Source organism: Homo sapiens, chromosome 1, assembly GCF_000001405.40.
Source record: "Homo sapiens chromosome 1, GRCh38.p14 Primary Assembly".
Classification (NCBI taxonomy): Eukaryota; Metazoa; Chordata; class Mammalia; order Primates; family Hominidae; genus Homo; species Homo sapiens.
The window spans coordinates 89,471,003-89,493,591 of record NC_000001.11 but is presented as its reverse complement, the minus strand read 5'-3'; the positions used below and the strand labels follow the sequence as shown (position 1 = coordinate 89,493,591).

At 40.5% G+C, this 22,589-nt stretch overlaps 1 long non-coding RNA gene across 1 annotated transcript, besides 2 other annotated features; it reads left to right on the top strand.

Moving 5' to 3' along the window:
- Positions 5,675-5,875: a silencer, noted in NCBI's record as "peak312 fragment used in MPRA reporter construct". NCBI's record gives its function as "represses an SCP1 promoter by STARR-seq MPRAs in K562 erythroleukemia cells {active_cell/tissue: K562}" and the evidence as "EXISTENCE:reporter gene assay evidence [ECO:0000049][PMID:32103011]".
- LOC105378844 (uncharacterized) lies at positions 13,620-21,817 on the top strand. The gene is made up of 3 exons (XR_947581.2): positions 13,620-13,655; positions 19,454-19,589; positions 20,475-21,817. It is a non-coding gene; the product is annotated as an uncharacterized LOC105378844 (long non-coding RNA).
- Positions 20,321-20,822: an enhancer, noted in NCBI's record as "H3K27ac hESC enhancer chr1:89938329-89938830 (GRCh37/hg19 assembly coordinates)". NCBI's record gives its function as "activates a minimal SCP1, AML or CMV promoter by ChIP-STARR-seq in primed H9 embryonic stem cells {active_cell/tissue: H9 hESC(primed)}" and the evidence as "EXISTENCE:reporter gene assay evidence [ECO:0000049][PMID:30033119]".
- Positions 21,818-22,589: the final 772 nt, after the last annotated feature.

The following is a 22,589-nucleotide window of genomic DNA, read 5'->3' as shown; positions in this document are numbered from 1 at the left end:
ATTCCTGGGTATCCTTGTTAACTTTCTGTCTCGTTGATCTGTCTAATGTTGACAGTGGGGTGTTAAAGTCTCCCATTATTAATGTGTGGGAGTCTAAGTCTCTTTGTGGGTCACTCAGGACTTGCTTTATGAATCTGGGTGCTCCTGTATTGGGTGCATATATATTTAGGATAGTTAGCTCTTCTTGTTGAATTGATCCTTTTACCATTATGTAATGGCCTTCTTTGTCTCTTTTGATCTTTTTTGTTTTAACATCTGTTTTATCAGAGACTAGGATTGCAACCCCTGCCTTTTTTCATTTTCCATTTGCTTGGTAGATCTTCCTCCATCCTTTTATTTTGAGCCTATGTGTGTTTCTGCATGTGAGATGGGTTTCTTGAATACAGCACACTGATGGCTCTTGACTCTTTATCCAGTTTGCCAGTTTGTGTCTTTTAATTGGAGCATTTAGTCCATTTACATTTAAAGTTAATATTGTTCTGTGTGAATTTGATCCTGTCATTATGATGTTAGCTGGTTATTTTGCTCGTTAGTTGATGTGGTTTCTTCCTAGTCTCGATGGTCTTTACATTTTGGCATGATTTTGCAGCAGCTCGTAGTGGTTGTTCCTTTCCATGTTTAGCGCTTCCTTCAGGAGCTCTTTTAGGGCAGTCCTGGTGGTGACAAAATCTCTCAGCATTTGATTGTCTGTAAATTTCTCCTTCACTTATGAAGCTTAGTTTGGCTGGATATGAAATTCTGGATTGAGAATTCTTTTCTTTAAGAATGTTGAATATTGGCCCCCACTCTCTTCTGGCTTGTAGAGTTTCTGCCGAGAGATCCGCTGTTAGTCTGATGGGCTTCCCTTTGTGGGTAACCTGAGCTTTCTCTCTGGCTGCCCTTAACATTTTTTCCATCATTTCAACTTTGGTGAATCTGACAATTATGTGTCTTGGAGTTGCTCTTCTCGAGGAGTATCTTTGTGGTGTTCTCTTGATTTCCTGAATCTGAATGTTGGCCTCCCTTGCTAGATTGGGGAAGTTCTCCTGGATAATATCCTGCAGAGTGTTTTCCAACTTGGTTCCATTCTCCCCGTCACTTTCAGGTACACCAATCAGATGTAGATTTGGTCTTTTCACATAGTCCCATATTTCTTGGATGCTTTGTTCATTTCTTTTTATTCTTTTTTCTCTAAACTTCTCTTCTTGCTTCATTTCATTCATTTGATCTTCCATCACTGATACCCTTTCTTCCAGTTGATCGCATCGGCTCCTCAGGCTTCTGCATTCTTCACGTAGTTCTCGAGCCTTGGCTTTCAGCTCCATCAGCTCCTTTAAGCACTTCTCTGTATTGGTGATTCTAGTTATACATTCGTCTAAATTTTTTTCAAAGTTTTTAACTTCTTTGCCTTTGGTTTGAATTTCCTCTTGTAGCTCGGAGTAGTTTGATCATCTGAAGCCTTCTTCTCTCAACTCGTCAAAATCATTCTCCGTCCAGCTCTATTCCATTGCTGGTGAGGAACTGCGTTCCTTTGGAGGAGGAGAGGCACTCTGCTTTTTAGAAATTCCAGGTTTTCTGCTCTGTTTTTTCCCCATCTTTGTGGTTTTATCTACTTTTGGTCTTTGATGATGGTGATGTACAGATGGGCTTTTGGTGTGGATGTCCTTTCTGTTTGTTAGTTTTCCTTCTAACAGACAGGACCCTCAGCTGCAGGTCTGTTGGAGTTTGCTAGAGGTCCGCTCCAGACCCTGTTTGCCTGGGTATCAGCAGTGGTGGCAGCAGAACAGCGGATTTTCGTGAACTGGGAATGCTGCTGTCTGATCGTTCCTCTGGAAGTTTTGTCTCAGAGGAGTACCCGGCCTTGTGAGGTGTCAGTCTGCCCCTACTAGGGGGTGCCTCCCAGTTAGGCTGCTCAGGGGTCAGGGGTCAGAGACCCACTTGAGGAGGCAGTCTGCCTGTTCTCAGATCTCCAGCTGTGTGCTGGGAGAACCACTGCTCTCTTCAAAGCTGTCAGACAGGGACATATAAGTCTGCAGAGGTTACTGCTGTCTTTTTGTTTGTCTGTTCCCTGCCCCCAGAGTTGGAGCCTACAGAGGCAGGCGGGCCTCCTTGAGCTGTGGTGGGCTCCATCCAGTTCGAGCTTCCCGGCTGCTTTGTTTACCTAAGCAAGCCTGGGCAATGGCAGGTGCCCCTCCCCCAGCCTCACTGCCACCTTGCAGTTTGATCTCAGACTGCTGTGCTAGCAATCAGCGAGACTCCGTGGGCGTAGGACCCTCCGAGCCAGGTGCGGGAGATAATCTCCTGGTGTGCCGTTTTTTAAGCCCGTCAGAAAAGCGTGGTATTAGGGTGGGAGTGACCCGATTTTCCAGGTGCTGTCTGTCACCCCTTTCTTTGACTAGGAAAGGGAACTCCCTGACTCCTTGTGCTTCCCAAGTGAGGCAGTGCCTCGCCCTGCTTCGGCTCGCGCACACTGCGCTGCACCCGCTGTCCTGTGCCCACTGTCTGGCACTCCCTAGTGACATGAACCCAGTACCTCAGATGGAAACGCAGAAATCACACGTCTTCTGCATCGCTCATGCTGGGAGCTGTAGACCGGAGCTGTTCCTATTCGGCCATCTTGGCTCGGCCTTGCTTACTTTTGATTTTAGAGGCTCATAGGCAGAAGGGACTTGCCTTGTCTGAGATGAGACTTTGGACTGCAGACTTTTGAGTTAATACTGAAATGAGTTAAGAGTTTGGGGGACTGTTAGGAAGGCATGATTGTTTTGAAATGTGAGGACTTGAGATTTGGGAGCGGCCAGGAGTAGAATGATATGATTTGGTTGTGTCCCCACCAAAATCTCATCTTGAATCGTAACTCGTACAATTCCCACGTGTTGTGGGAGAAACCCAGTGGGAGGTAGTTGAATTATGGGGGCAGGTCTTTTCCACATTGTTCTCTTAATAGTGAATAAGTCTCACAAGATTTGATGGTTTTAAAAATGGGAGTTTCCCTGCACAAGCTTTCTCTTGCCTGCCACCATCCATGTAAGATGTGACTTGCTCCTCCTTGCCTTCCACCATGATTGTGAGGCCTCTGCAGCCTGTGGAACTATAAGTTCATTAAACCTCTTTTTCTTCTCAGTTTAGGTATGTCTTAATCAGCAGCATGAGAATGGACTGACACAGGTAAGATCAGGGAGAATTCCCTGGATTACCAGGCAGAGACTCTTGTTCTCTTCCCTTGCTTTTCCCCAAACAAATGAAGTCTCTCTTTCTATGTTTAGCTGCCTGGAACTGGGAGAGGATTGATGCAAGAGCCCCTGTGGCCACCACCACTGGGACTGCACCAGGTCAGACCAAAACTCAGCACAGCATTGGGTCTTGATGAAGGCCCGAGGCAACCACTGCCTGGTTCCTGCCAATGTTCACTCAAGGCCCAAGGGCTCTTCAGTTAGCAGTTGGTGAATCCAGCCAGGCTTGTGTCCTATCCTTCAGTGCAGTGATCTCCCCCATAACCCAGGGTGGGTCCCAGAATACTGTCTGGGAGCGAGGGCTTGGAGATGGGAACCAGAGCCTGGAATCAGGAATGTTATGAATCTACTTGGTGTTCTATTCTACTGCGGCTCAGCTGGCACCAATGCCACAAAACAAAGTCCTTATCACTCTTCCTTCTCCTTTCCTCATGCAGAAAGAGTCTTGCTCTGTGGATACCACCACACCAGCCAGTGGCTCTTACTGCCTAGATGCTGTTGATGTTCATTCAAGGCTCATGGGCTTTTCAATTCACTTATGATTAATGTTACCAGGACTAGGTCTCTCCCCTCTGGCCCAAGGTGGGTCTAGAAATACTGTCCAATAGCCACAGCCTGGAATCAGGAACCCTAGGGGTCTGCTTGCTGCTCTATCCCATGGTGGCTGAGCTGATGCCCAAGCTGCAAGTCAAGGTCCCCTTCACTTTTCCTTCCCCTTTGCTCTAGCAGAAGGCATTTCCCTGCACGGTTACTACAGCTGAGAATTTTCTGGGTCACATTTGAAGCCAGCATGGCCCTGGGTCTTATCCAAGGCTCACAGTAAGAGCTCCTTGGGTACCACGGATATTTATTTAAGGCCTAAGGGCTCTCTAGTCAGCCAATGATGAATCCTGGCAAGACTGGATCCTTCCCTTTCAGGCAGTAGGTTCTCTTCTGGCCCAGGACATATCTAAAAATGTCATCTAGGAGCTGGGGCTTGGAATGGGGGAAGGCCTCAAAACTCTGCCTGGTGCCCTTTTCTACCATGGCTGAGCTGGTATTCAAGTTGCAACAAAAAGTTATTTTCACTCTTCCCTCTCCTGTCTTCAGATGGAAGGAAGTAGTCTCTCCTGGAGCTATGAGTTGTGCTGCTTGTGGTTTGGGGAGGGGTGATGCAAGCACTCCCTTGGCTGCCCCAGCTGGTGTCTCACTTGGTTGTGTGCCCTCCAAGTCCACTGGCTCCAAGCTCAGCACAGCATCAGGATTTGCTCAGGAATTGCAGTCCTTGTGGCCTAGACTGCCTTTCAAGTTTATTTAGGACCACAGAACACTTTAGCCCACAATGTTGGAACTTGCTGGAACTCAGGTTCTGACTACTGGAAAGGGCAATTCTCTGGCTAGGGCTGGTCTACATACTACTTCCACAGGTGCCAGCTGAATTCTGCCCCATGTTACTTTCCCCACTGTGACAGGCAGTACTGAGTTCCAATGCAAGGTCTCAAAATCACTGTGTTCTCTCTCCCCTAAGCAAACATATCTTTCCATGCCACATGGCTGCTGCTGGCGAGGGGAGAGGGGTTGTGTCAGCAATTGAAGACTGTCTTTTCTACTCTCTTCAGTGCCTCTTTCCATTATATGATGTTAAAACCAGGTACTGTGATTGCTCACCTGATTTTTGGTTCCTATAAAAGTGCATTCTTGTGGGGATAGTTGTTCAATTTGGTGTTCTTATGGGGGGAAATGATAGCTGGAGGCTTCTATTTAGCCATCTGGCTCCTCCTCTCCATCCAGAGAGTATCTTTTATATAGCAAGGTTTTAGGGTAAAACCTATGCAGCTGGTCACATCTTCAGAGTTTTTTGCAAAGACTCATGACCACTTGGGAGGTTAGGGAAGCATCTTTATGAGGGATTATCCATGCTATAGCAATCGTTTAAACACCTTACTGCAGAACTTGTAAGTATGTGGGGGTCAATCATCAGTTTTGCTTCAAGATGGCATCACTCTTACCATGCAACATGCTGTTTCCTTACACTTCACCCCCACCCCAAACTGGCCCTTACAGTCTTACTCCTTTACTTCTTCCTCAATAGTTCCTGGGTCTAGAGGAAATGTGCCTAATTTTGCATAGCTTAACAGCAGTGCATTGGCTCCATTGGAGGCAGTTTCCACAGTAACAGTAAAGCCAAAAACAAGACCATAAAAAACATATGAGTATAATGTCTAAACCACAATGCAGCTTCTGCTACCAGGTGCCCCAGGACCCAAACCACCAAATGTTCCACAATGAGAAGGTCTATGCAAACCTACTCCAAAATGCTGAGGGAGCTGACAGACTGAAGAAAGAGGCTAACAAGTCCAGTTTCTCAGAAAAGAACGTTTAATCGGGATATAAAAATAGAAGCAATGTCTTGAGCAGTCACTAGATGGTGGATCTGCATACTTGCCTTCCAGAAAGTATTCTTTATAAAGCAAGATTTTAGGGTAAAACATGTGCAGCTGGTCATGTTTCAGACTTTCTTGCCAAAACTCGTGGAGAGGTTAGAGAAGCATCTTTATGAGGAGTTATCTATGCTACAGACATTGTGTAAAGACCTTACTGCAGAACACCTTGGTATGTGGGGGTCAAACACTGGCCATGATGGTGGTTTTGCTTCAAGATAGCATTACTCTTGACATGCAACAGGCTATTTTCCTAGAAGAGTTTTGTTGGCTCTATGTATGTGGATCTCTATGTGGTGCTTAATATATTCTGCTACTACTGTGAAGTGTTGTAGAGATAATGAAATATATATGTAAAAGTGACTTTTAAGTTTTTAAAAAGTTTTTTAGATGTAAGGCATTGTGGCTTGTATTTATTTCTTTCTTTGTTTAAGAGATAGTATTGTTCTATCGACCAGGCTGGAATGCAATGGTGCCATCATGGCTCACTGCAGCCTTGACTTTCTGGGCTCAAGCAATTCTCCCATCTCGTCCTCCTGAGTAGCTGGGACTACAGGCATGTGCCACTATGCCCAGCTATTTATTTTTTATTTTTATTTTCTAGAGACAAGGTCCCACTATGCTGCCCAAACTAGCCTCAAACTCCTGGGCTCAAGCAATCCTCTTGACTTGGCCTCTGAAAGCGCTGGGATTAAGGCATGAGCCACCATACCTGGCCTGTGGCTGTTACTTAAAATCATATTTTTTTCATGATAGCAATGAAATATCTCATTTAAATTCCTGTTTTTATTCACAAGCTAACCTAAATAATATTTCCATTCATGTAAATAGAACTGATATATTGGCTAAATAGGGGTTGAGCAATGTAATAAGGAAAACAATTTTAATTTTGTCTCCCAATGTCACTTTCAAGTGTATTTAGTGGAGTAAAGGTTTTTTCTGCTGCTGGATAAAAGCCCAACGGAACTTGACAAAAAAAATCCCATGGTTGGTTTAAGTTGTAAAACAGAATTTGATTCAGAAATTATAAATTCTAGTCCAAATTTTAATCTTTATTTAAAGGTAAACTTCCTTCCTCTCTCCTGCCCCCTTCTATCCCTTGCTGCTTTATAAACTGCCTTGGCAGGGAGAGCAGTGGGCTGCTTTTCCCACGTAAGCACCGTCAGGTCTCTCCAAGTATAGAGCTCAGGGAAGGACAAAAGGAAAGGAGAGGGACTAGAAAGTTCTTACTTGACTGATGCTTTAATTCTGCCATTTTACTCTCTGAGCCTGACTGACGTTTAAAGGTAAATTTTTCTCTGTGCGGCCAGTCTGGATTCTCTGACAGCTCGCCTGCTGGGCCCCTCTGACCATACCTGACACAGCGTTGGCAGTGTCCTCATTCTACTGATCACCACCACTCCCCACTTAGCTTCTGGATTTTACACAGCCCATGCCAAGCCCAGACTCTGCTAGAATCCTCCTGCCATCTACCCAAAGCTCTGGTTAACCTGGCAGGCTCACTGCCATAATGATTCCAGGTAGAGATCCTCCCAGATCCCATTTCCTGTAAAACCAGCAAATGTCTTGGATGTCTCTCTCTGGATCCCTCAGGCAAACAGTCACAGCATCCTGCCACAGAGAGCTCAGATTTGTGTTCCACACCAGTCCAGTGTGCTCCCTAACTGCAGGCAGCACTGATTAAGGTCTTCAAGGGTCTCCTGAAACACTTCCTAGACCTAATTGAAGGACAAAGCTCTTTTCAAGAGGTAAGTTTGTAATTCTACCCTCTGTGTCTGTTCTCAACCTTTTATGTCTTCGATGTGGATGACAGGTTTTAAATGTATCAAAACTGGTTCTCATAATTTTATTTGAAAATTTATATAGAGTCTGACAATCACTTTGGGATTCAGTATCTACTGTATCTTGATGTGTGAGACAAAAATTCCTCTTTGAAATCCTATCATACAACAAAATAGATCAATCGAAAAGGTTCTCATAAACAAATGAGAATTAGGATACAGGTAATTTAGAGTTCCTTGGCATACAAAAGAAATAGGAAAAATAAGTATCCTTATTCATCATTAGAAACTGAAGCCCAGGTATCATCCCCTGATCATAAGAGAATATGATAAGTGCTCCTCCTCGTTGCTTCCACTGTACTTTATATATTGCTACTATCATAGCTCTTACCATTTGCTTTTAAATTTACTAGATTTTAAGCTTCTGGAGAAAATGAGATATATTTATTTTTATTTGTACCTCCTGTGCCTAGCACAGTGTCTAGAATATTGTGGAAACTCAATAAATGCTTATTAATCTAAATTAAAGAGATATGGATTTCTACTTAGACTCTCATGATATTTGATTGGCTTAGGAATGTAGTATTCCTCTTTCCCAGGCTCTTTATCAGTAAAATGGGAAAAACACCAATTATCTTAACTAATAAAGATGAAAACTAGTAAAAATGATTTAAAAACCACTCTTAAAACAAAAGGATTTATAAGCACTAGTCGTCAGTTCTATCATGCTCCATGTCTGGCAGTACCGTCTCCCCACATGGGCTGTTAAAATGACCTAGAATCATAAATTTTTGTCAGTCTATTAGATAGGAAGGTGAACTCTGTGTTCCTCTGTGGGATTTGTTGCCCTCATAGTCCTTGAAGAATCTTAATTTATTATATGGATAAAAAAATAAAGTTAAGCTAAGAGAACTTTCGAATTAAATTGTACCTTTTGTTTTGTTAGCCATGAACAGTCATAGAGCGACAGCAGTAGTACTAGAAAAAGCATGTAGTCTATTTTTGTAACATCTTTTTGTTAAACATCTGAAAAAACAAGAGGGGCCCAGTCTGTTGTTTGCTTAAGCTTCTGTGAAATGTGTCCATCCAATTCAGCATATGTCAATATGTTCCTCATTTATTGCTGTGTAAAAATTATCTAAAATATATAAGCTGAAAACAATAAATATTTATTGTCTCATAGTTTCTGCGGGTCAGGAATATGAGAGAGGCTTAGGTGGATAGTTGTGGTTCAAGGTTTCTCATGTGGCTTCAGTCAAGGTATCTTCCAGGGCTGTTGCCATCTGAGTCTTAACTGAGTCTGGAGGAGCTGCTTGACTGACAGCTATGGCTGTTGGCAGGAGGCTTCAGTTCCTCTTCACATCAGCCTCTCCATAAGGCTCATGACATGGCTTCCCCCAGGGACAAAGAAAGCAGATTCCAAGGGTAAAAGCTGTAGATTTGTAATAACCTAGTCTTAGAAGTGAATATTGTTACTTTCAGTGTATTCAAATTGTTAGGAATTAGTCATTAAAACCAACCTATACTCAAGGGGAGGGGAATTAGGCTATACCTCTTAAAGGGAGGAGAGTCAAATAATTTGTGGACATACTTTCCAAACCACCACAGGCAACATGCTGACTTAAGAAAATAGTCTTAGATAGTTTTAACTTCTTTGTTTTTCAGTGTGACTTTAAGATGTAAAATATAAAATTTTATGTATAAAATATCTTACGGTAACCCAACTTCCCCCAGAAGTAAACAATTAAGTAGTAGTATTATATGAAGGCACTAAAGGAAGAAGTCATTAAATTTTATGCTATAGCTCAGGTGAAAAGGAAAATATCTTGCATCTGTGGCTAAGTTATAAACCATTGACATCAATTAGCCTCTTTTTGCCATAGCAGTGAAAATGGGCAACTCTTGCTGATGGCTTTATCTTAAAGTGTCTTCAGATGTGTGGTTAAATATGCGGTCAAAGGGTTTTCATCATCTACCTTGTCATTATATATACTTCCTTTTTGTTGACTTCTAGTTAACTTTGAAAAGTCAATCCATTCCAACCTAAATAAGTATTTTATAGAGAACATTTATAAATTTATAAAATAAAAAGCTGCCATTAAATATTATTACAGACATAATATAGTTGTACTTCTTAGAGATGTATGTAATTGTTACAGAACCTTGCCAACTTTCATTTTCATTCTCCCTTTATTTTATTTTTCATATAGATGTAGAGCAGAATATTAGTCTTAGTATTAGTCTAGTAGTACTAGTATTAGTCTAATAGCATTAGACTAGTATTAACTATTAGACTAGTATTAGTCAACTAATTAGTATTAGCCTAATAAATATAGATAGCATTCAATGGCGTAAAAGGCTGGAATGGTTCTAGAACAGTTCTGTTGTCATGTTATTCTGGTAGGAACAGAATGAAGTTTACTAGGAGAATTGAGGATGGAATAAAGAGCTTATTCAATTTTCCCTAATATATGGGCTGTTTGAATTGGAAGAAATCTGTTCTATTATTAAGAACATGGAAGAAATCTATTATTAAGTACAATCAAGAAGCAGGAAAAAGAACTGCCACTGAGTACCCCTTTTATCCTTCTTGGACAAGGGCAGAACATTGCACAGGATTTGGAATGGATGCAGCTAGTGATTAAGGTGATGTTAGTGATTTCTATTGTAGTACTGACTGTGTGGCCATAGATCTCACAGCCTTGGAATCAGTGTGCTTCAAGCCTCGTATCGCCCTCTTGTGGCCAGAGTTCATCTACTTATAGAAATTCTGTTTCTCACAGATTCCTCTTCTAGAGTTACATCAAAAATAAAGGATTGTTTCTCACTGCTTTCTTCCTCCCACAAGAAACTCATTAGAAGTGGGAACCTTATTTATCATGAATTTATCTGCTTTATGTGCTTACCAGCAGTAGGAATCAAGACATCAAGACATCCTTATCATCACCGAGTGGTTGGAGATTGTTACTGTTTCTTCCTTGTACTAGAGTCTGTATAGAACTCAAGGCTTGTTTCCTTTTCATTTTGTCCCAATGTATGATTATTACAAGCAGAAATATAAGAAATGCCTGATTATGTATGTTGACAAAATTATGACCTTGGAGAGATATTACTTGGAGATATATATTTATTAATAAAATCTCAATAATTTCATAAATCATTCAATTGTCATATTGAGGTGAAGCAACTTATATTAATATATATCAGAAGCCAATAATATAATTAGAAAAGTAACACTATCTGATAGTGATTTGTGATGTTGATGAAAGAGGCACTTCCTAAACATCTAACTTAGATGTCCGTAATATGCTCATTTACTAATAGGTTTCTAAGATTATCACAGCAGGTGCTACATATCATCATCACACTTTGTCAACTCAAAATAATTTTTACCAACTCCTACTTTCCACTGTGGAAGCATAATAAACAAAATAAAGACCTGCTTTTTTATATTCCTATTTTTAAAATGGAAAAAATTAGAATTAAATATGTCAATCCAGAAAATGAATAAATTATGTGTTCAGCTCAATAAACTATCAGTGCCACCTACTGAATCACATACCAAAGCTTCAACACCAGAAATACTTGGTAACATACTCCTCTGAGAAACTAAAGACAAGAAGTCAGCTACAACTAAAGACCCTGCACAAAATCCCGGAACACATTATTCTGACTTCTTGTGCCATTTTGGCAGCTTTTAATCTTTATACGAATGGAACCACACAGTATGTATTCTTTAGCATTTGGTTTCTTTCGTACATCATTATGTTTGAGAGATTCATCTATGTTGTGATGAGCTACAGTTCTTCCATTTTAATTGCTCTATAGTGTTCCATCATGTTCGGCATATATAGCCTCTTTATCTTTAAAAAATGCTCTCTGTTTCAAAGCCTAGTTTCTAATATTAATATACCTGTACCAGTTTTTTTTGGTTAAAATTTTTATGGTATATCATTTTTCTATTATTTTAATTTCAACATTTCATTCTAATATTTTACAGTGTGTCTCTTGTAAGCAGAATATAGATAGGTTTGTAATATTATCCAGTATGATAATCTTTGTTTTTCATTTGGGACACTTAATCCATTTATATTTTGATATGGTTTGGCTGTGTCCCCACCCAAATATCATCTTGAATGCTAGCTCCCCTAATTCCCTTATGTTGTGGGAGGGACCAAGTGGGAGGTAATTGATTAATGGGAGCAGTTTCCTCTATACTGTTCTCATGGTACTGAATGAGTATCATGATATCTAATGGTTTTATAAGGGGAAATCTTTTGCTTGCCTCTCATTCTATTCTCTTGTCTGCCACCAGGTGAGATGTGACTTTTGCCTTCCACCACGACTGTGCCCGGTCTTGGGTATGTCTTTATCAGCAGCAGGACAATGGACTCCTACAGTAAATTGGTACCAGTAGAGTGGGCGCTGCTGAAAAGATACCCAAAAATGTGAAAGTGACTTTGGAACTGGGTAACACGCAGAGGTTGGAACAGTTTGGAGGGCTCAGAATAAGACAGAAAAATGTGGGAAAGTTTGGAACTTCCTAGAGACTTGTTGAATGGCTTTGTGCAAAATGCTGATAATGACATGGACAATGAAATCCAGGTTAATATGGTCTCTGATGGAGATGAAGAACTTGTTGGGAACTGGAGCAAAGGTGACTCTTGTTTTAGCAAAGAGACTGGTGGCATTTTGCCCCTGCTCTAGAGATTTTTGGAACTTTGAACTTAAGAGAGATGATTTAGGTATCTGGCAGAAGAAATTTCTAAGCAGCAAAGCACTCAAGAGGTGACTTGAGTGCTGTTAAAGGCATACAGTTTTAAAAGGGAAACAGTATAAAAGTTCAGAAAATTTGCAGCCTGACAATGTGATAGAAAGGAAAATCCCATTTTCTGAGGAGAAATTCAAGCTGGCTGCAGAAATTTGCATATGTAATGAGGAGCTGAATGTTAATCCCCAAGACAATGGGAAAAATGTCTCCAGGGCATGTTAGAGGTTTTCACGGCAGCTCCTTCCATCACAGGCCTGGAAGCCTAAAAGGTAAAAGTGGTTTCTTGGGCCAGGCCCAGGGTCCCTCTGCTGTGTGCAGTCTAGGGACTTGATGCCCTGCATCCCAGCTGCTCCAGCTGTGACTAAAAGGAGCCAAGGTACAGCTCAGTCCATGGCTTCAGAGGATGCAAGCCCCAAGCCTTGGCAGCTTCCATGTGGTGTTGAGCGTGCCAGTGCACAGAAGTCAAGAATTGGGGTTTGGGAACCTCCGCCTAGGTTTCAGAGGATGTATGGAAATGCCTAGATGTCCAGGCAGAAGTTTCCTGCAGGGGCGGGGCCCTCATGGAGAACCTCTGCTAGGGCAGTGTGGAAGGGAAATGTGGGATCAGAGCCCCCACACAGAATCCCTGCTGGGACACTGCCTAGTGGAGATGTGAGAAGAGGGCCACCATCCTCCAGACCCCAGAATAGTAGATCCACTGATATCTTGCACCATGCACCTGGAAAACCTGCAGAAGTCAATGCCAGCCTGTGAAAGCAGCCAGTAGGGAGGCTGTACCATGCAAAGCCACAGGGGTGGAGCTGCCCAAGACCATGGAAATCCATCTTGCATCAGCATGACTTGGATGTGAGACATGGAGTCAAGGGAGATCATTCTCGAGTTTTAAGATTTGACTGCCCTGCTGGATTTTAGACTTACATGGAACTTGTAGCCCCTTTGTTTTGGCCAATTTCTTCCATTTGGAATAGGCGTATTTACCCAATACCTGTACCCCCATTGTATCTAAGAAGTAACTAACTTGCTTTTGATTTTACAGGCTCATAGGTGGAAGGGACTTACCTTGTCTTAGGTGAGACTTTGAACTATGGACTTTTGAGTTAATGCTAAATGAGTTAAGACTTTGGGGAACTTTTGGGAAGCCATGATTAGTTTTGAAATGTGAGGAAATGAGATTTGGGAGGGGCCAGGGCAGAATGATATGGTTTGGCAGTGTCCCCACTCAAATCTCATCTTCAACTGTGGCTCCTATTATTCTCTGGTTTTGTGAGAGGGACCCGGAGATAATTTTATCATAGGGACATGTTCCCCCATACTGTTCTCATGGTAGTGAATAAGTCTCATGAGATCTGATGGTTTTATAAGGGGAAACCCCTTTCACTTGGCGCTCATTCTCTTTTCTTGTCTGCCACCAGGTGAGACTTGCCTTTCTCCTTCTGCCATGATTGTGAGGCTTCTTCAGCCACGTGGAACTGTGAGTCATTAAATCTCTTTCTTTTGTAAATCACCCAGTCTTGGGTATGTCTTTATCAGCAGCATAAAATGGACTAATATTTAATATAATTACTAATATATTTATGTATATTCACATTGTTGTGCATATATTACCACCATCCATCTCCAGAACATTTTTATTTTCTAAAACTGAAACTTCATGCCCATTAAACAATGACACCCATTCCACCTTCTTTCTAACCCCTGGGAACTACCACTCCATCTTCTGTCCCTGTGAATTTGACTAATAAAGGTATGCCATGTAAGTGGAATTATACAATATTTATCCTTTTATTCTTTGCTTATTCCACTTAGTACAATGTCTTCAGGATTCATCCATGTTGTATCATGTGTCAGAACTTCATTCTTTTTTCTAGAGATCCATTTTAGTTAAAAAATTTTCTTGAGTTTCTGAATATCTTCTAAATCTTTTTAAATGTTACTTTTTATTTATTTATTTTTTGATTTCCAACTTTTATATTAAGTTTAGGGGACATATGCAGATTGCACAGGTTTGTTACACAGGTAAATGTGTGCCATGGTGGTTTGGTGCACAGATAACCCAATCACCTAGGTATTAAGCCCAGCATCCATTAGCTATTTTTCCTGATGCTCTCCCTCCTCCCACCACCTACCGTGCAACAGGCCCCAGTGTGTCCATATGCATAGCCATATCCCCTCAATATGTCCATATGTTCTCCTTATTCAGCTCCCACTTATAAGTGAGAACACGTGATATTTGATTTTCTGTTCCTGTGTTCGGTTGCTGAAGATAATGGTGTCCAGCTCCATCCATGTTCCTGCAAAAGACATGATCTCATTTTTTCTATGGCTGCATAGTATTCTATGGTGTATATGTACCACATTTTCTTGATCTAGTCTATCATTGATGGGGATTTAGGTTGATTCCATGTCTTTGTTATTGTGAATAGTGCTGCAATGAACATACATGCGCATGTATCTTTATAATATATTGATTTATATTCCTTTAGGTATATACCCAGCAATGGGATTGCTGGTTCAAAAGGTATTTCTGCCACTAGGTCTTTGAGGAATCACCACACTGTCTTCCATAATGGTTGAACTAATTTACACTTCCACCAACAGTGTAAAAGCATTTATTTCCTCCACAACCTCACCAGCATCTATTGTTTTTTTGACTGTTTAATAATGGCCATTCTGATTGATGTGAGATGGTATCTCATAGTTTGATTTTCATTTCTCTAATGATTAGTGATGCTGAATTTTTTTTCATATGCTTTTTGGCTGCATGTGGTCTTCTTTTGAGAAGTGTCTGTTTATGTCCTTTACCCACTTCTTAATGGGGTTGTTTGTTTTCTCGTAAATTTGTTTAAGTTCCTAGTAGGTGCTGGATATTAGGCCTTTTTCAGATGGATAGATTGCAAAAATTTTCTCCCATTCTGTGGGTTGTCTGTTCACTCTGATGATAGTTTCTTTTGCTGTGCAGAAGCTCTTTTGTTTAATTAGATTGCATTTGTCAATCTTTGCTTTTCGCATCTTTATCAAGAAATCTTTGCCAGTGCTTATGTCCTGAATGGTATTGCCTAGATTTTTTCGTAGGGTTTTTATAGTTTTTGATTTTACATTTATATCTTTAATCCATCTTGAGCTGATTTTTGTATATGGTGTAAAGAAGGGGTCCAGTTTCAATTTTCTGCATATGGCTAGCCAGTTCTCCCAGCACTATTTATTAAATAGGGACTCCTTTCCCTATTGCTTGTTTTTGTCAGGTTTGTTGAAGATCAAGTGGTGTTTAATGTGTGGTCTTATTTCTGGGTTCTCTATTCTGTGCTATTGGTCTATGTGTCTGTTGTTGTACCATTATCATGCTGTTTTAATTACTGTAGCCTTATAGAATAGTTTGAAGTCCGGTAGCGTGATGCCTCCCTGTAGATTCTTTTTGCTTAGGATTGTCTTGGCTATTCAGGCTCTATTTTAGTTCCATATGAATTTTAAAATAGTTTTTTTTTATTTTGTGAAAAATGTCAATGGTAGTTTAATGAGAATAGTACTGCATTTGTAAATTGCTCTGGGCAGTATGGCCATTTTAATAATCTTGATTCTTCCTATCCATGAGCACAGAATATTTTTCCATTTGTTTGTATAATCTCAGTTTGTTTTGAGCAGTGGTTTGTAGTTCTCCTTGAAGAGGTCGCTTGCTTTTCTTGTTAGCTGTATTCCTAGGTATTTTATTCTCTTTGTAGCAATTGTGAATGGGAGTTCATCCCTGATTTGGCTCTTAGGTCACCTGTTATTGGTGTCTAGAAATGCTAGTAATTTTTGTACATTGATTTTGTATCTAGAGACTTTGCTGAAGTTGCTTATCAGCTTAATTAGCTTTTGAGCTGAGACAATGGAGTTTTCTAGATATGGGATCATGTTATCTGCAAACAAAGATAATTTGACTTTTTCTCTTCCTATTGGAATATGCTTTATTTCTTTCTCTTGCCTGATTGTTCTGGCCAGGACTTTCAATACTATGTTGAATAGGAGTGCTAAGAGAGGGCATCCTTGCCTTGTGCCAGTTTTCAAGGGAAATGCTTCCAGCTTTTGCCCATTCAGTATAATATTGGCTGTGGGTTTGTCATATATGACTCTTATTTTGGGGTATGTTTCTTTGATACCTACTTTATTGAGAGTTTTTAACATGAAGGAGTGTTGAATTTTATTGAAGGCCTTTTCTGTATCTATTGAGATAATTATGTGTTTTTTTCTTGAGATCTGTGTATGTGATGAATCACGTTTATTGATTTGTGTATGGGGAACCAGCGTTGCATCCCAGGGATAAGCCTATTTGATTGTGGTGGATATGCCTTTTTTGATGTGCTGCCGGATTTAGTTTGCAAGTATTTTGTTGAAGATTTTTGCATCAATGTTTATCAAAGATAATGGCCTGAATTTTTCTTTTTTTGTTGTATCTCTGCTAGGTTTTGGTATCAGAATTATGCTGCCCTCATAGAATGAGTTAGGGTTGAAGTCCCCCCTTTTCAGTTTTTTGGAATAGTTTCAGTAGAAATGGTACCAGGTGTTCTTTGTATCTCTGGTAGAATTCAGCTGTGAACCTGTCTGAACCTGGGCTTTTTTTTTTTTTTTTTTTTTTTTTGGTTGTTGTTTTTGTTGGTAGGCTATTTACTACCGCCTCAATTTCAGAACTCATTATTGGTCTATGTAGAAATTCAGTTTCTTCCTGGTTTAGTCTTGGGAGGATGTACATGTTGAGGAACTTATCAGTTTCTTCTAGATTTTCTAGTTTATGTGCATAAAGGTGTTTATAGTATTCTCTGATGGTTTCTTTTATGTTGGTCAGTGGTGATACCCCCAAATTATTTCTTATTGTGTTATTTGAGTCTTTTCTCTTTTCTTATTTATTAGTCTGGTTAGTGGTCTATTTCATTATTTTTTTCAAAAAGCCAACTCCTGCATTTGTTGATTTTTTGAAGAGTGTGTGTGTGTCTCTATGTCCTTCAGTTCATTTCTGATTTTGGTTATTTCTTGTCTTCTGCTAGCATTGGTGTTTGTTTGCTCTTAGTTCTCTATTCTTTTAGTTGTGATGTTAGATTGTTAACTTGAGACCTTTCTAGCTTTTTGATGTGGGCAAAGCTTTTTGATGTCTCTGCATTTAGTGCTATAAATTTCCCTCTTAACGTTGCTCTATCTGTGTCCCAGGGATTCTGGTGTGCTGTCTCTTTGTTCTCATTGGTTTCAAAATCTTACTGATTTCTGCCTTAATTTCATCATTTACCAAAGAGTCATTCCAGAGTAGGTTGTTTAATATCCATGTAGTTGTGCTATTTTGAGGGAATTTCTTAATATTAGTTTCTAATTTGATTGTGCTGTGTCTGAAGGACTGTTTATGATTTCAATTCTTTTGCATTTGCTCAGGAGTATTTTACTTCTGATTATGTGATCAATGTTAGTGTACGTGCCAAGTAGGGATGAGAAGAATGTGTATTCTGTTGTTTTTGGGTAAAGAGTTCTGTAGGCATCTATCAGGTCCACTTCATCCAGAGCTGAATTGAGGTCTTGAAAATCTTTGTTAATTTTCTGTCTCAATGATCTGTTTAATATTGTCAGTGGGGTGTTAAAGTCTCCTATTATTATTGTGTGGGAGTGTAAGTCTCTATAAAAGCCTCTAAGAACTTGCTTTATGAATCTGGGTGCTCCTGTGTTGGGTGCATATATAGTTAAGATTGTTAGATTTTCTTGTTGAATTGAACCCTTTAACATTATGTAGTGTCCTTCTTTGTCTTCTTTGATCTTTGTTTGTTTAATATCTGTTCAGAAACTAGGATTGCAACCCATGCTTTTTTCTGTTTGCCATTTGCTTGGTAGATTTTCCTCCATCCGTTTATTTTGAACCTATGTGTGTCTTTGCATGTGAGATGGGTCTCTTGAAGACAGCATGTTGATGGGTCTTGGCTCTTTATCCAGCTTGCCACTCTGGGTCTTTTAATTGAGGCATTTAGCCCATTTACATTTAAGGTTAGGATTGCTATGTGTGGATTTGATCCTATCATGTTGGTAGCTAGTTATTTTATAGACATGCTTATGTGGTTGCTTCATAATGTCACTAGTCTGTGTACTTCAGTGTGTTTTTGTAGTCACTAGTAACAATTTTTCCTTTCCATATTTAGTGCTTCTTTCAGGAGCTCTTGCAAGGCAGGTCTGGTGGTAATGAACTCACTCAGCATTTGCTTGTCTGAAAAGGATCTTATTTCTCCTTCACTTATGGAGCTTAGTTTGGCTGGATATGAAATTCTGGGTTGGAAATTCTTTTCTTTGTGAATTTCTTTAAGAATTCTTTAAGAATTGAAAGTCTTTCCCCAATCTCTTCTGGCTTGTGGGGTTTCCACCCAGAGGTCCACTCTTAGTCTGATGGGCTTCCCTTTGTAGGTGACCTGGCTTTTCTCTCTAGCTGCCCTTAACATTTTTTCTTTAATTTCGACCTTGGAGAATCTGATGATTATATGTCTTGGGGATGATCTTCTCATGGAGTATCTTACCGGGGTTCTCTGCATTTCCTGAATTTGAATGATGGCCTGATTTGCTAGGTCAGGGATGTTCTCTTGGATGGTATCCTGAAGTATGTTTTCCAACTTGGTTCCATTCTCACTGTCCCTTTCAGGTACCCCAATCAGTTGTAGATTCAGTCTCTTTACATAATCCCATATTTCTCAGAAGTTTGGTTCATTCCTTTTCATCCTTTTTATGTATTTTTGTCTGCCTGTCTTATTTCAGAAAGATAGTCTTTAAGTTATGAGATTCTTTTCTCTGTTTTGTCTATTCTGATATTAATACTCATGATTTATTGCATTGTGAGGTTCTTGTAGTGTGTTTTTCAGCTCTAACAAGTCAGTTATATTCCTCTCTAAACTGGCTATTTTGGCTGTCAGCTCACACATTATTTTATCATGATTCTTAACCTCTTTACATTGAATTACAACATGCTCCTTTAGCTCAGTGAAGTTAGTTATTACCAACATTCTGAAGCCTACTTCTGTCATTTCAGCCATCTCAGCCTCAGCCCAATTCTGAGCCCTTGCTGGAGAAGTGTTGCAGTCATTTGGAACAAAAAGGGCCCTCTGGCTTTTTGAGTTTTCAGCATTTTTGCAATGATTCTTTCTCATCTTTGTGGGTTTATCTGCCTTTGATTTTTGAGGTTGCTGACTTTCAGATTTTTTTTTTTTTTTTGGTGGTGGTGGTTATTGTTTTCTGTTTGTTTGTTTTTCTTCTAACAGTCTGGCCACTCTTCCATAGGTCTGCTGTGGTTTGCTGGGGTGCTACTCCTGACCCTAGTTGCCTTAGTTTTTCCCGTACCTGGGGGTATCACCAGTGAAGGCTGTAAAAAGGCAAAGATGGCAGCCTGCCCCTTCCTCTGGAAGCTCTGTTCCAGGTGAGACTGACCTATTGCTGGCCCAAGGGTGCCTGTAGGAAGTAGTTGGAGACCATGGTTGGCAGATCTCACCCAGTTAGGAGGAACAGGATTAGGGACTCCCTTAAAGAAGCAGACTGGCTGCATTTTAGTAGAGCAGCTGTGCTGTGTTGGGGATCCCTTCAGCTCCCAATTGGTTTGGGCTCTCCAAAGGACACAGGGTGGACTGGCTGAGAAGCCTGAATGGCCAAGGTGGCAGCCTGCCCTGACCCTCAGGCACTCTGTCCCAGGGAGAAATTAGGGCTCTGTTGGCTGGTAGAATATGGGTGGGGGTGGCTAGAGGCCCCAGCTGGGAGAATACCAGTGGGAGGGCCTGCCCTGTAAGAAGGAGTGAATCAAGGTCCCGATTAAAGAATCAGTCTTGTCACACCTCAACAAAACAGCTGTGTTGTGTTGGGGAACTTCCTCTGCTCCTGTCTGCTTGGATTCTCTAAAGCCCACAGGCTGGAATGGCTGAGTTATTCAACCAACCCAGGTGGTGGCCCTCCCCTCCCCTGGGTACTCCATCTTATGGGGAGATCAGAGCTCTGTCCATAAGAGGTGAGGGCAGGCTGGCTGGAGGGCCTGGCTGTATGGTCCTGCCCATTGAGGAGGAATGGATTGGGCCCTACTTAAAGAAGCAGTCTGGCCATGATCTGGCAAAGCCAGTATGCTGTGCTGCTAGGGGGACCATTACTTGTCCCAACTGTTTGGACTCTCCAAAGCCTATGGGCTGGAACAGCTGTTGACCAAACAGCAGAGATGGTGCCCACCCTTCCCCCTGGGGCTCCATCTGGTCTCAGGCAAGCTCCACCCTGTTGCTGGTAGCTGGCTGGAATTCCAAGCCAGTGGGTCTTATCTTTTCAGGTGCCGTGGAAGTGTGGCCTGCAGAACAATGCTGCTCAGCTCCCTGGATTCTGACCACTTCCTAGGGGTATGTGCAGACCTCTTGCCTTGCCTGAGTTGCAAACATGTTTGTTGGAAATCCCAGTGCCGGAGTACGTAAAGCACCTGGGTCTCTGTGCATGCCTGAACAGCTGCTCTGCCAAGACTCCACATAGCTCAGTGTGTTGGACCTAAGGCCCTGGTGGTATGGGCTCACAAAGGGAATCTACTGATCCATGGATTACAAAGATCCATGGGAGAAGCCTGGTTTCCTGGGGTTGCACAATCACTCATGGCTTCCCTTGGCTAGGGATGGGGGTTCCCTTGGCAAGAACCTGGGTATTTCATTTGAAGGTGCTGTATTCACTCACCTTTTTTGTTACTCTCTGTGAGTGCTGTGGACCACAGTTGCTTCTAATTGGCCATCTTGGACCCTCCCTGATGTTCTACCTTCCAAATCTTTAAAAACAATTTTCTTAACCATATTCATCATGGTTTTTTAAAAAGTACATGTTTAGTAACCATTATTTGTATCTCATGTGGGTCTACTTTCTTATTTTGCGTATGTGTCTTGCCTCATGATATGTCTTATTACTTTCAATTATTGGTCATTCAAAATTGTATTTGAAAATTATAGAGATTGTTAGAAGTTTAGAATGATGTCATGTTCTTCTAGAAATGATTTATGTTTACAAATCCAGATATATATTCAGGAATTAGTGTATTAAGCTGAATATCAGTCCCTGCAAAGCCCTGTCAATTTCTAGTATTACCTTCCTCCTACTGTAGTGCCCTTTAGGGTTCTAACAAAAGACCTGTAGTCCATCAGGATCCTCAATCCTTGGCAGGTCTTGAACCCCAATTTTGTCCTACTAACTATGAAATCTGTTTACATCCTTGCTTAGCTTGTGTCTCCTGGAATTGGCAGATATCCCTAGGGGAAAATCAGCCTGAGGTACCTGGTTTAACTCTGGGTTTCTCCCAGAATTTGGCCACCTAATTTTTCTCTATATTTTTAGTCCTTAGATGCTGTGAGATCCATGTTTGCATAAGCTTTTTCACTTCTTTTTATCTGTTCTCAGTGGAATGATTGGTCTGATTACTTTGCCATTACTAGATGAGTGTGTTTTACTTTTTTATTGAATGTCCAAAATATGGTATACTCTCTATAAAAAATCCATATTTATACCTATTCTGATTTTGAATAAGGGAAGACTATTGAATGAATTAATGAAATATGGGGGTTTCACGTTTTATTTCTCTGGACAATGTTTTATTTACTTAATTAAAGACCTCTGTTTTGTGTATAATGCTCTGCAAACAAACATTTTAGTTGTACAGGTATGTTTTAATTTTTCCTATTCTATTTGTAGTTCAAGACTTGACAAAAATGTTATTTTCACCATGAGCCTTTTTTTGATATCTCCAGGCAAAATAGTTGTTTTCTCTTTAGGATCTCCATATTTATTTTACAGTCTTAAAATCACTGTAACCATCTATGTGGTTTATATCTGTTTTATTTCTGCTATACAATTAAGCTTAGGAAGAAGAAATTGTGTATTACCAAAATATACACATTCCAAAATACCTAACTTTTTTTTTTGCATAGAATGAGAACTTAGTATATATTTGGAAAATAAATAGATGGATGAATGAATAATAAATAAAGATGCTGGAGTGCAGTGAAAGGAATGTTAATTGGAATAAGAAGAGGTAGGTTTACTTGTTGTCTCTGCCTTTGGGCAAGTGTTTTAACGTTTTCTCAGTGCCCTTATTTGTGAAACTGAAGTAAATGGCTACCTCAAGGAGTGTTGATCTCTGCCCGTGGACAAGTATTTTAAATGTTTTCTGTGTCTTTATTTGTAAAATGCGAACAAATGACTACCTCAAGGAGATCTGAAACTTAAAAACATAAGTGCACATTTATCTTAATGTGCATTGTAGAATAATATACAAATATAAGGCAGCCACTTATATTTTAAAAACCTGTGGTGGTAGGGGTGGGGAATATATGCCTGTAAAGGCATAAAATATCTTGAGAAGAGTACATAAGCAACTGTAGGCAGAGAAACTGGATAGAGGGAAGACAGGTTAGAA